The sequence below is a fragment of the Homo sapiens genome, chromosome 3 (genome assembly GCF_000001405.40).
Source record: "Homo sapiens chromosome 3, GRCh38.p14 Primary Assembly".
NCBI classification, from domain to species: domain Eukaryota; kingdom Metazoa; phylum Chordata; class Mammalia; order Primates; family Hominidae; genus Homo; species Homo sapiens.
Genome location: NC_000003.12, coordinates 128,860,019 through 128,871,554, shown reverse-complemented (window position 1 = coordinate 128,871,554; position 11,536 = coordinate 128,860,019). Strand labels below are relative to the sequence as shown.

The following is an 11,536-nucleotide window of genomic DNA, read 5'->3' as shown; positions in this document are numbered from 1 at the left end:
ATTTTGTTTTTGTATTTTTAGTAGAGACGGGGTTTCACCATGTTACCTAGGGTGGTCTCGGCTAGTGTCGATCTCCTGACCTCATGATCTGCCCACCTCGGCCTCCCAAAGTGCTGGGATTATAGGCGTGAGACACCGCGCCTGGCCTCTTCTCCTTCTGAAGAAAGGAACAACTGTATCTTATATTTGCCACACAGTATTTGTTTCTTCAGCTCCACAAAGGTCTGACAAATGGTAAGGTTCTGTTTATTGTGGTGTAAAAAATTACTCCAGATTCCACCTCTACCCATTCACCATAGGGCAGTATAACAGGGAGTTGCACAGAAGGTGTCCAGCTTGTAGCCTATCATAAATCTGGTGCCAAAGACAAAGATATTTTATGTTGTAGTTGGCATCTTGTAAATACAAGTACATTCTGGGGCATCAGGTTCCTGTGGAAATGTTTCTTTTGGTGGTGGTACTGTAGGGCAGATAGTATTTGCCGGAACTTGCCTCAGGCCTCTTCCTCCTGCTTTTGGTGGGGCTCTAGGATGTAGTGAAGTAGCTGCCCCAGCTGGCATGCTACATGACTCAGTGTAGAGTGCCCACGATGGCAGTCACTGGAAGGAGCTGATTGAGGTTGGGTGATTCGGGGCCCTTATTATATCGACTTCACAGCTGTCAACTCCAGAGGCTGGAGGAGCTCTGCTGACCTCTCTAGGTGACCTTCACAGCCACCTGGATCCCAGTGAGAATGTTCTGGGGTAACTGTACCTTGGCTGCACGTGGGTGCTTAATAATGTCACCTGGACTCTCTCCCAACCTCTGACTCTGTGTCCTTCCCTCAGTGTGGATGTCGTGCTCAGGTGGGCTTTCCCTTCAAGGTGACAAGATGGCACCCACAGCCCCAGCCACCCAACAGAAATAGACCTTCTCTCCCCTGCTACCAACCCTTGTCCTGACCCTTGCCACCTGATTGGTCACATGCCCAGGTGTTAGCCAATCACTGTGGCTGTGTAGGTTGGGTTCTTCTGATTGGCGAGGTTGAGGTCATGTGGCTGCTGTTGCCAGGGATACTTGGAGCTGCTCCCCTGTTTTGGTGGGAGATAGTATACCCACTGGCTTCTGTGTAACAGAATCCACGGAGGCATTTTTCCCTCTCCCACCACCTCCTCCCCAGGCCGCATTTCACCCATCCCAGAAAGGAACAAGGAGCAGACTTCTGTCTGAAGATAGGATTTGGGATTCCCCTCAGCTTCAAGATTTGCTGCTTGTCCTGGTGCCATCGGCTACTCACTCAACCAACATGCAATGAGCACCCTCGACATACCAGGCTGTCACTAGGTGTGATACAAGGATGAGCAGGGCTAATGGGACTCCTGTCCTCCAGGAGCTGACACTCTAGTGGAAGTGCACAGACAAATCAAAGACCAATTCAGATCAGATGAGTCCAGATGAGGAAAGAGATAGGATGGGATGGAGGGTGCCATGGAGGTGTCCCCAGCAAATCCCAATTTGCTCACTTCACCATGCACTCAGCCTCATGCAGTGTAGATCATAGGAAATGGAGTACACATCATAGAAAGTCGCCTTCACGTTCAGGCAGCTGATGAAGTCCTGTGGGCTCAGCTTGTTCAGGTCAAAGGTTATGCGGGCCACATCCATCTTCTTGGCAGGCTTATGGGAGACAGACAGTGGGTGCCTCATCCCCTGCATTGAGACAAGCAGATGGTTACACCCCTTGAAGACTTCTCCCAGGGTCCCACTTTTCTCCCCCAACAGGTGGGACCTCACCTGTTCTGATGGGGGCTCCCATTTCTGCCCCTTCTGGAGGACCAGGAGCACTGTATTGCCTGCCAGAGCTTGGAAGGGAGGACTCTTCTTCTGTCTCTACAGTTGTGCCATCTTCCTCCAGCACCAGGAAGAAGGGCTTGTCTGCCAGCATCAGAGTGCCCTGGTCCTGGGGAATAAGGTCGGTGATGCTTCTGCCATCTCTAAGAAGTCAGAGCAAGTCTGGGAAAGCCCCACGTCATAGCTCCTCAGCTGCCAGGGAAAGAACAAGTGGGCTGGGGTCTATGGGGTAGAACTGGAGCCCAGGCCCTCTGCTGTGGAATCACTATGTAGAGACTTTATCTTGGTACCTCTTGGTGCCTGGCTTCAGGGTTCATAGTCTGGAACAATATTGTCCGATAAAATATAATGTAAGCCACATATGTAATTTTTAGTTGAGATATCATTTACATACTATAAAAGTCACCCTCTTAAAGTGTACAATTCAGATCCCAGTACTGGGCAAAATGGTGAGACTCCATCTCTACAAAAAAAAATACATAAATTAGCCAGGTGTGGTGGTGTGTACCTGTAGTCCCAGCTACTCAGGAGACTTGAGGTGGGAGAAACACCTGAGCCCAGGAGATCAAGGATGTGGTGAGCTGTGATCGTGCCACTGCACTGCAGCCTGAGTGACAGAGTGACACCCCATCTCAAAAAAAGCGTATAATTCAGGGTTTTTTGTATATTCACGAAGTTGTGGAACCATCACCACTATCTAACTTCAGAACATTTACATCACCCCAAAAAGAAACCCAGTTCCGGCCGGGCGCGGTGGCTCACGCTTGTAATCCCAGCACTTTGGGAGGCCGAGGCAGGCAGATGACTTGAGATTTTGAGTTCGAGACCAGCCTGATTAACATGGTGAAACCCCATCTCTACTGAAAATACAGAATTAGCCGGACTTGGTGGCACATGCCTGTAATCCCAGCTAGTCGGGAGGCCGAGGCAGGAGAATCACTTGAACCTGGGAGGCAGAGATTGCGGTGAGCCAAGATTGTGCCATTGCACTGCAGCCTGCGAAACGAGTGAAACTCCGTCTCAAAAAAAAAAAAAAAGAAAGAAAGAAACCCAGTTCCCATCGGCAGTCACTCCCCATTCCTCCAATTCCCCATCCCATGGCAACAGTTATTTTCTGTTTCTATGGATTTGCCTATTCCAGACATTTCATCAAAATGAAGTAATACAATATGGGGTCTTTTTAGACTGACTTCTTTCATTTAGCATGTTTTCAAAGTCATCTGTGTTGCAGCATGATTTATCTTTTTTTTTTAAGAGACAGGATCTCAGTCTGTCACCCAGGCTGGAGTGCAGTGACACACTCATAGCTCATTGCGGCCTCAAACTCTTGGGCACAAGCGATCCTCCTGTCCCAGCCTCCTAAGTAGCTGGGAGTACAGGTGCTTGCCATTACACCTGCCTAATTTTTATATTTTTGTAGAGACAGTGTCTGGCTATGTTGCATAGGCTAGTCTCAAAATCCTGGTCTCAAGGGATCCTCCCACCTTGGCCTCCCAAAGTGCTTGGATTACAAGCATGTGCTACTATGCCCAAACATGATTCATTCATTTTTGACTAAATAACATTCTACTATATAGATATAGCACATTTTCAGATCCATTTATCAATTGATAAACATTTAGCTTGTTTCTTATTGGCTACTATGAATAATGCTGCTGTAAGTTTTGGTGTACAAGTTTTTGTATGAACATCTATTTTCCATTCTCTTTGGCATATACCTAGGAGAAGAATTGCTGACTCATACATTAACTCTATGTTTGACTTTTTTATATTATTTTTTGCTTTCTTTTTGAGACAGGGTCTTGACTGTTGCCCAAGCTGGAATGCAGTGGCACAGTCACTGCTCACTGTAGCCTTGACTCTGGAGCTCCACTGATGCCCCCACCTCTCTGTGCAGCTGTGTGACCTCAGGCAAGTTACTTAACCTCTCTGTGCTGCTGTGTGAACTCAGGCAAGTTACTTAACCTCTGTGTGCAGCGTCAGTCGAGTTACTTAAATTCTCTGTGCAGCTGTGTGGCTTCAGGCAAGTTACTCAACCCCTCTGTGCAGCTGTGTGGCCTCAGGCAAGTGACTTAACCTCTCTGTGCAGCTGCTTTGCCTCTGACAAGCCATTTAACCTCTCTGTACAGCTGTTTTGCCTCTGGCAAGTGACTTAACCTCTCTGTGCAGCTGTGTGGCCTCAAGGAAGTTACTTAAGCTCTCTGTGCAGCTGTGTGGCCTCAGGTAAGTTCAACCTCTGTGTGCCACGTGTGGCCTCAGACAAGTTGCTTAACCACTGTATGAAGCTGTGTGACATCAGGCAAGTTGTGTAGTTTCTCTGTGCAGCTGCATGGCCTCAGGCAAGTTACTTAACCTCTGTGTAACTGTGTGACCCAGGCAAGTTACTTAACCTCTTGTGCAGCTGTTTTGCCTCTGGCAAGTTACTTAACCTCTCAGTGCAGCTGTGTGGCCTCAGGCAAGTTGCTTCACCCCCTCTTTCCAACTCTGAGACTTCAGAGAAGTTTTTGTTTTTTGAGGACAGCGTCAGGCCAAAGGTGCAGTGGCCCTCACACTCATAGCAGGCCCCCCCATTCTGGCAGAGTTGAGCTACAGCCTCTGGCTACATGTAGACTTGATTAGTGGCTTAAGGTCATCAGAAGGTGGAAGATTTGTTAGAGATGCTGCTTCTGTGGATTTCTAGAGGGAGGCAGAGATTGTTACCTAGGTCAGCTCCTGATTAGGGCAGCGAGTGGGCTAAGGCAGTGCGTTCCAGCATGTGTCCTAGAGAATGCTGGGTCCTCAGGATACTGATAGATGTCATAAGAAAAATTGGCCCCTTGGCCAGTTCGGTGTGGGATGTTAAACAGATTTCTGTGTGTGTATGTATGCATGTGCATACATGTTCTTTGCTCAACATAAGAAAAGTTCTAAGTGGGCTGCTACATGAAACTTTGAAAGTGAAAATGAGCCAGTCGCAGTGGCTCATATCTGTAACCCCAGCACTTTGGGAGGCCGAGCCAGGTGGATCACTTGAGGTCAGGAGTTCGAGACCAGCCTGGCCAACATGGCGAAACCCTGTCTCTACTAAAAATACAAAAATTAGCTGGACGTGGTGGCGGGCGCCTGTAATCCCAGCTATTTGGGAGGCTGAGACAGGAGAATCTCTTGAACCTGGGAGGTGGAGGTTGCAGTGAGCCGAGATCGTGCCACTGTCCTCCAGCCTGGACAACAGAGTGAGACTCCGTCTCAAAAAAAAAAAAAACAAAAAACTGAAAATGTAGCTGCATTAGCCTGAGAGCCAAGCTGTGCAGCAGATGGCTTATGGCTAAGGCTTGTCAGGTCTTTGCTGGGGATGGAAGTCACGGGGTGTGAGAGCGGTGGGTGAAGTCAAGAACAATGCCAAGGGGAGGTGGGTCAAGTCAAGAACAAAGCCAAGGGCTGCTTCTTTCTCAGGCAGCTCTCACTTCCCATGGGAGCATGGACTTTGGGGTCAGGTGGGCCTGAGGTCATGTTCTTAGTTAGCTACTCACAGGCTTTGTCACCCTGGGCAGGTCATTTTACCTCTCCGAGGCTACAGTTTCACATGAGGATAATACTACATTTCACAGGGCTGTCAAAAATAGATATCAAGGTTGGGAGTTAAATCCAGTTTCAAAAAAATACCCAAACAGGGATATTAAAGCAGGCATGCTGGTGGGTACCTGTTGTCCCAGCTACTCAGGAGGCTGAGGCAGGAGGATTTCTTGAGCCCAGGAGTTTGAGGCTGCAGTGTGATATGATTAAGCCTGTGAATAGCCACAGTGGTCAGCCTGGGCAACATAGCAAGACTTTATCTCTAAAAAAATTTTTTTTTAAACCAGGGATATTAGTAGATGATGGCTGTCATCATCACTGTCATCATTATTATAATTTTCTACCACATGTCTTGTCAGTGTTCATAGTAGCCTTTTCTTATGTTAGTTCGTGACTCAGATCTCTGCTAGGTGGCATCTCCTAACGCTGCAGTCTGGGTAATGTCATCAACAAATCCCCAGTCCGAACAGACACTGAAGTGAGCTCGGCCTGTCTCGGGTCTGTCATTACTTCTGCAGCCTCTGATGAACCTCGCTTCTGGCCTCCTAAGGATAAGCCAACGCCCCACCCCCTCTTTCTTTTGATGAGTCCTTTTCCCTGCACGGAGCTTCTGGTGAAGGTGGTGGGAGTTGTTCTTGCAGAGCACATGGGAGTCCAACGGCCTGGCAGTGGGCCAGGATCTTGTTGCCATGGTGACTGACACTGTTTTCGCTGAAATTTTGCCAGATCCTGAAGATCTTCGTGGACAATCTCTTTGCTATCGTCCTGCTGAAGCAGGCCACAGCTGTGCGCTGCTTGGACATGAGTGCCTCCCGTAAGAAGCTGGCCGTGGTAGATGAAAATGACACTTGCCTGGTGTATGACATCGACACCAAGGAGCTGCTTTTTCAGGTGAAGTCCCCGAGGGGGCCCAGGGACATCGTCCTTTGATTAGAGGCCCTCTCTAGCTTCCCAGTCCCTGCAGGAGGCTCTTCTGCTCTGGCCCAGGCAGGTCTCTGGGAGGAGCAGTGAGGGGCAGGGGCCAAGCACATGCATAGAGTCCCAGAGGCCCTGGGCCACAACCTGCTCCTCCCACGCAGGCACAAGCCACAGGGCCTGGACCAGCCTCTTTAACTTTGGTTTTCTTGCCAATGAGATGAGCCAGCAGAGCCTTTCTTAAGCGTTTTCCATGAACAAGAAATGGGGCAATGACTCTGAGGGGGGCGTGACGTTAGCACTCAGTGAATGGGGCGATGGATGCACTTCCTTTGCAGAAGTCTGCGTCTCACCTGCTGCAGGCCTGCCTCTGTCTATGCACACCTACAGCGAGGGAAGGAAACAGAATCAGTTTTGTCATCTGAAAGGGGGAAGGGGATGGGCAAGCCTGACCTTCTGTTTAATTCACAAGAATCCTAGAAAAGCCAGCAGAATGCGAAGTGCTTGGATCTTTGGGGTTGTAGGCGTTGTTTAGTGGAGTCATCCAGCCCTGTGGGCTGAAAAAGTGTGTCACCAGAGAAGACAGCCCGGCAGCTCTGTGCCCCGGGCCTGGCTGGCTTTCTGCTGGGCTCGTGCCATTCTTTGTCTCTTTTGGGCTTTGGAGGTGGGGAGGGCTGGTTTGGCAGAATCGAGTTCCCCTCAAAGCTGGAGCCCCTCCTAACTGGTTTCCTCGGCCACTGCAGGGTTTCCTGATGTTACTGGCAGATTCAGTTCCCTTACCAGGCTCCTCTTTGCTCTCCGCAGCAGAATCAATAGGGGGGAGGGGCCTGGAGTGGGGAGCAGCCTCAGTCAATTAGAAGGGGTTACCTCGGCCGGGCGCAGTGGCTCATGCCTGTAATCCCAGCATTTTGGGAGGCCGAGGTGGGCGGATCGCGAGGTCAGGAGATCGAGACCATCCTGGCTAACATAGTGAAACCCCGTCTCTACTAAAAATACAAAAAATTTGCTGGGCGTGGTGGCAGGTGCCTGTGGTCCCAGCTACTTGGGAGTCTGAGCAGGAGAATGGCATGAACCCGGGAAGTGGAGCTTGCAGTGAGCCAAGATCGCGCCACTGTACTCCAGCCTGGGCGACAGAGCGAGACTCCATCTCTTAAAAAAAAAAAAAAAAAAAAAAGGAGTTACCTGGCCACCTCTAGCCCAGAGGTGACTCCCTGTCAGTCTCAACTCACTCATGTCCCTGAGAGAGTAGAATGGTTCGGGGGAAAGAGAGGGCACACCCTTCAGGCTGACCTAGGCTTGGGTCCTGCCTGCATCCCTTCCTGTGTGATCTTAAGCAAGTTAGTGAGCCTCTCTGAGCCTTGATTTCTTTTCTCTAAAATGAAATTAGTAATTGCCCCTCACAGAATTGCTACAGGAATGAACAAGATACCACAGTGCCTAGCTCAGTGCTGGGCACAAAATGGGGCCTGAAATGTTACCTCCCTTCTTCCCAGCCTCACCTCCCACCTATAGGGGGCGTAGCTGGCCCCAAATGTGAATCTGTGTCTGAGCCTAGAATCATACAAATGTGGAAGGGTGTCTGCGTGCCCCCGTCCCCACTGCTGGCTCTATAGCAGGCTAGGGGAGGTGATTCTCAGCCCTGCCAGGAGACATCAGCATTCCCAGCTGTGACATTGCCTGCTGGCTTTTCCTCTTCTCCACTGCCCCTCCCCCTACACATAAAACAGCTATATATTTTTTTCTCATTATAGAAGCAATCTGCGCTCATTTATAAAAGATTCAGACATTGTAAAACATTCTAGGCAGAAAGCTGTGAGCATCTACTGGTCCCTGAGGCTCCAGGGCTGAGCAGGGAACTGAGGTGCAGTGGGTGCCTCCCAGGGTGACTATTTTCACAATGTGTGGACTGTAAATGCAAAGAACAAGATATTCTTTTCAAATCTTACAAATAACTTACCGTTCTTTCTCTTATTATCAAACAATAGATAGATGTTCATGACAGAACAAATTCAGGCAAACAAAAAAGATTTTCTCATTACACAATTTCGCCCACCCATTAACGCTGTTAATCCTTTGGAACATATTCTTGTAAATCTTCTGTTTACAGAGATGTATATTCCTTCTGTAATAGAAGTGGAATCCCACTTTGCTGATTCTCCACCTTCTTTTTTTTTCTTTTCTTTTTTTTGAGACAGTTTCGCTCTTGTTGCCCAGGCAATGCCACCATGATCTTGGCTCACTGCAGCCTCTGCCTCCCGGGTTCAAGCCATTCTCCTGCCTCAGCCTCCCGAGTAGCTGGGATTACAGGCACATGCCACCACGCCCGGCTAATTTTTGTATTTTTAGTAGAGACAGGGTTTCACCATGTTGGCCAGGCTGGTCTCGAACTCCTGACCTCAGGTGATCCACCCGCCTTGGCTTCCCAAAGTGCTAGGATTACAGGTGTGAGCCACTGCACCTGGTCTGATTCTCCACTTTCTATATAGGGACTCATATTGCAGGAGAATATTTTTCTTTTTTTTTTATATTATACTTTAAGTTCTAAGGTACATGTGCACAACGTGCAGGTTTGTTACATATGTATACATCTGCCATGTTGGTGTGCTGCACCCATTAACTTGTCATTTACATTAGGTATATCTCCTAATGCTATCCCTCCCCCCCGACTCCATGACAGGCCCCGGTGTATGATGTTCCCCATCTGTGTCCAAGTGTTCTCATTGTTCAATTCCCACCTATAGTGAGAACATGCAGTGTTTGGTTTTTTTGTCCTAGCGATAGTTTGCTCAAAATGATGATTTCCAGCTTCATCCATGTCCCTACAAAGGACATGAACTCATCCTTTCTTATGGCTGCATAGCATTCCATGATGTATATGTGCCACATATTCTTAATCCAGTCTATCTTGATGGACATTTGGGTTGGTTCCAAGTCTCTGCCATTGTGAACAGTGCTGCAGTAAACATGCATGTGCGTGTGTCTTTATAGCAGCATGATTTATAATCCTTTGGATATATACCCAGTAATGAGATGGCTGGGTCAAATGGAACTTCTAATTCTAGATCCTTGAGGAATTGTCAGGGGAATATTTTTCAAAAGTAACGCCTGCTTACTCAAAAATTCCAACAACACGCAGGTGCATGGAGGGGCTTGCCTCTGTTCATTTCTCTTGCCTCTGTTCATTTCTTTTTGGTCCCCTTTCCTCCTTTTCCCTCCATCCCACTGTAAGCAATTTAGTGGGATTCAGTCATTAAAAGGGTATTAGGCTGAAATGTGCAAGCGCTGCCCAAGCCCAGGGTGGTTCTCACAGGATCCCCACTGTCCCTGTCCCCCAGGAACCAAACGCCAACAGTGTGGCCTGGAACACCCAGTGTGAGGACATGCTCTGCTTCTCGGGAGGAGGCAACCTCAACATCAAAGCCAGCATCTTCCCTGTGCACTGGCAGAAGCTGCAGGGCTTTGTGGTCGGCTACAATGGCTCCAAGATCTTCTGCCTCCACGTCTTCATTTCTGCCGTGGAGGTGCCACAGGTAACTGGGAGCACCTGTCCACTCTCAGCACTGGCAAGGCCAGTAAGACCAGGGAAGCCGGGCCCCTGGCTGGTGCTTTGAGGAGAGAGTAGCAAGGAGAGAAGAATGGCAGCTGTGATGTCGTGGGAGGCAGTCTGGGCTTGGAACCTGCAGCCCTATCTCCACTCCTTGCAACCTGTGTGACTGGGGGCAAGGAGCTCAACCTCCCTGTGCCTCAATTTCTTCCTGGTCCCCCTTCTGGTAAGGATTCAGAGGGGTATACAGTGTTGTCAGCAGAGTGTATTTTACAGAGAGCCCAGTGTGGGCCAAGTGGAGAGAGCAGCAAAGCCGGGAGTCCAGCAGGGTGTGTGTGTGTGAGCACATGTGTGATGGTGGTGATGTGTGTGTGAGAGAGGGGGAAGAGAGAGAGAATGAGTGGGTGGGGGGGGTGAGGCCTGAGGTCTGTGAGCCAATAAGGGAGCATGGGACTCTGCACAAGCCCCCTGAACTAGGAGGTGGCCACAGCAGAAATGGGGCACTGAAGTGTGGAGCCACAGAATGCGGGAGGGCAGAACCACAGACAGGAGGCTGAGATTGACCTCCTGAGTGCAAGCTGGTCTCCCCTTCACCTCCTGCACCCCACGCAGATGGTGCTTACCATAGGATTGCCGTAAAACAGAGACACGCACCAGCGAGAAACTTTAGCCCTTAGTATCCCATCCTCAGGACAGAATCACTCTTAAACATGTTGAAATACATCTGCTTAGAGCTTTTCTATGTGTCTATATAATGTATGCATAATATACAATTAGAAGCATGTGATTTTATAACATTTTTAAACAAAAGTGGAATCACACTGCAAATACTGTTTCATGACTTTTATGTGTGTAAGTATTGCTACCTATAGATGGAACCTCAGATTTACTGTATTCCCCAAGCCTGGACTGTAAACAAGACTTCTCATCCCTTCCTCTATGGCCATCTTCTCATTTCACCTCACATTTGGTTATGACAGCCCCATCACTGTCTATGAAGTGCTGGCTGTAAACTCGTCATCTGGCCTTTTCACTCAGCAATCTCCTGAAGCATGGTTCTGTGTCAGTAAATGTTCTTATCCAGCATGGCAAAATGTTAAGGTAATTGTAGACTCACATAAGTTGCAGGAAATAATACAGAGATCCCTTATACCCTTTGCCCAGTTTCCCGCAATGGTAACAGTGTGCAAAGCTCCAGGACGATTTTGCCACCCATGTTGGCATGTGTAACCGCCCCCCACAGTCACGACACTGAACATGGCCACCACCACAAGTGCCTAGTGTTGTGCTACCCTTTTACAGCCAGCGCCCCTCCCTCCTGCCCGGCCCCCCTGCGTTGTATTTATGGCTGCATTTTGTCCTGTCTTGTGGATGTTCCATGGCGGACAGACAGGCTGAACAAACAAAGGGTGTGCAAAGAAGCCCAGAGCAGGAGAGAAGGCTCCCCAGCCTGGCTCTTGGTCAGCACAGTCACAGGCTGGCTCTGCCTCTCTTGGCTGCACTGTCCTGAAGCAGGAAATATGAGAAAAACAAGTAAAGGGAAAACAAGTCCAGTTGGAGCTATGATAACATTATCTGCAAGGCCAGGCAGGGGCCCCAAAGAAATGGGATCCAAGAGCAGGGACGAGAAAAGCAAGTTCTTAGTCTCCCCCTGGAATTCTTTCCCCATGCCATCATTCTTTGTTCTGCTCTTAT

At 49.0% G+C, this 11,536-nt stretch overlaps 1 pseudogene across 1 annotated transcript, besides 1 other annotated feature; it reads left to right on the top strand.

The window, feature by feature from the left end:
• The first annotated feature begins 13 nt into the window (after nt 1-13).
• Nucleotides 14-10,047, top strand: IFT122P3 (IFT122 pseudogene 3; annotated as a pseudogene). Its single transcript, NR_034179.1, has 5 exons — nt 14-234; nt 1,762-1,951; nt 3,629-3,741; nt 6,109-6,273; nt 9,633-10,047. The product of NR_034179.1 is annotated as an IFT122 pseudogene 3 (transcript).
• Nucleotides 6,522-7,348: an enhancer, noted in NCBI's record as "H3K27ac-H3K4me1 hESC enhancer chr3:128583050-128583876 (GRCh37/hg19 assembly coordinates)". NCBI's record gives its function as "activates a minimal SCP1, AML or CMV promoter by ChIP-STARR-seq in primed H9 embryonic stem cells {active_cell/tissue: H9 hESC(primed)}" and the evidence as "EXISTENCE:reporter gene assay evidence [ECO:0000049][PMID:30033119]".
• Nucleotides 10,048-11,536: the final 1,489 nt, after the last annotated feature.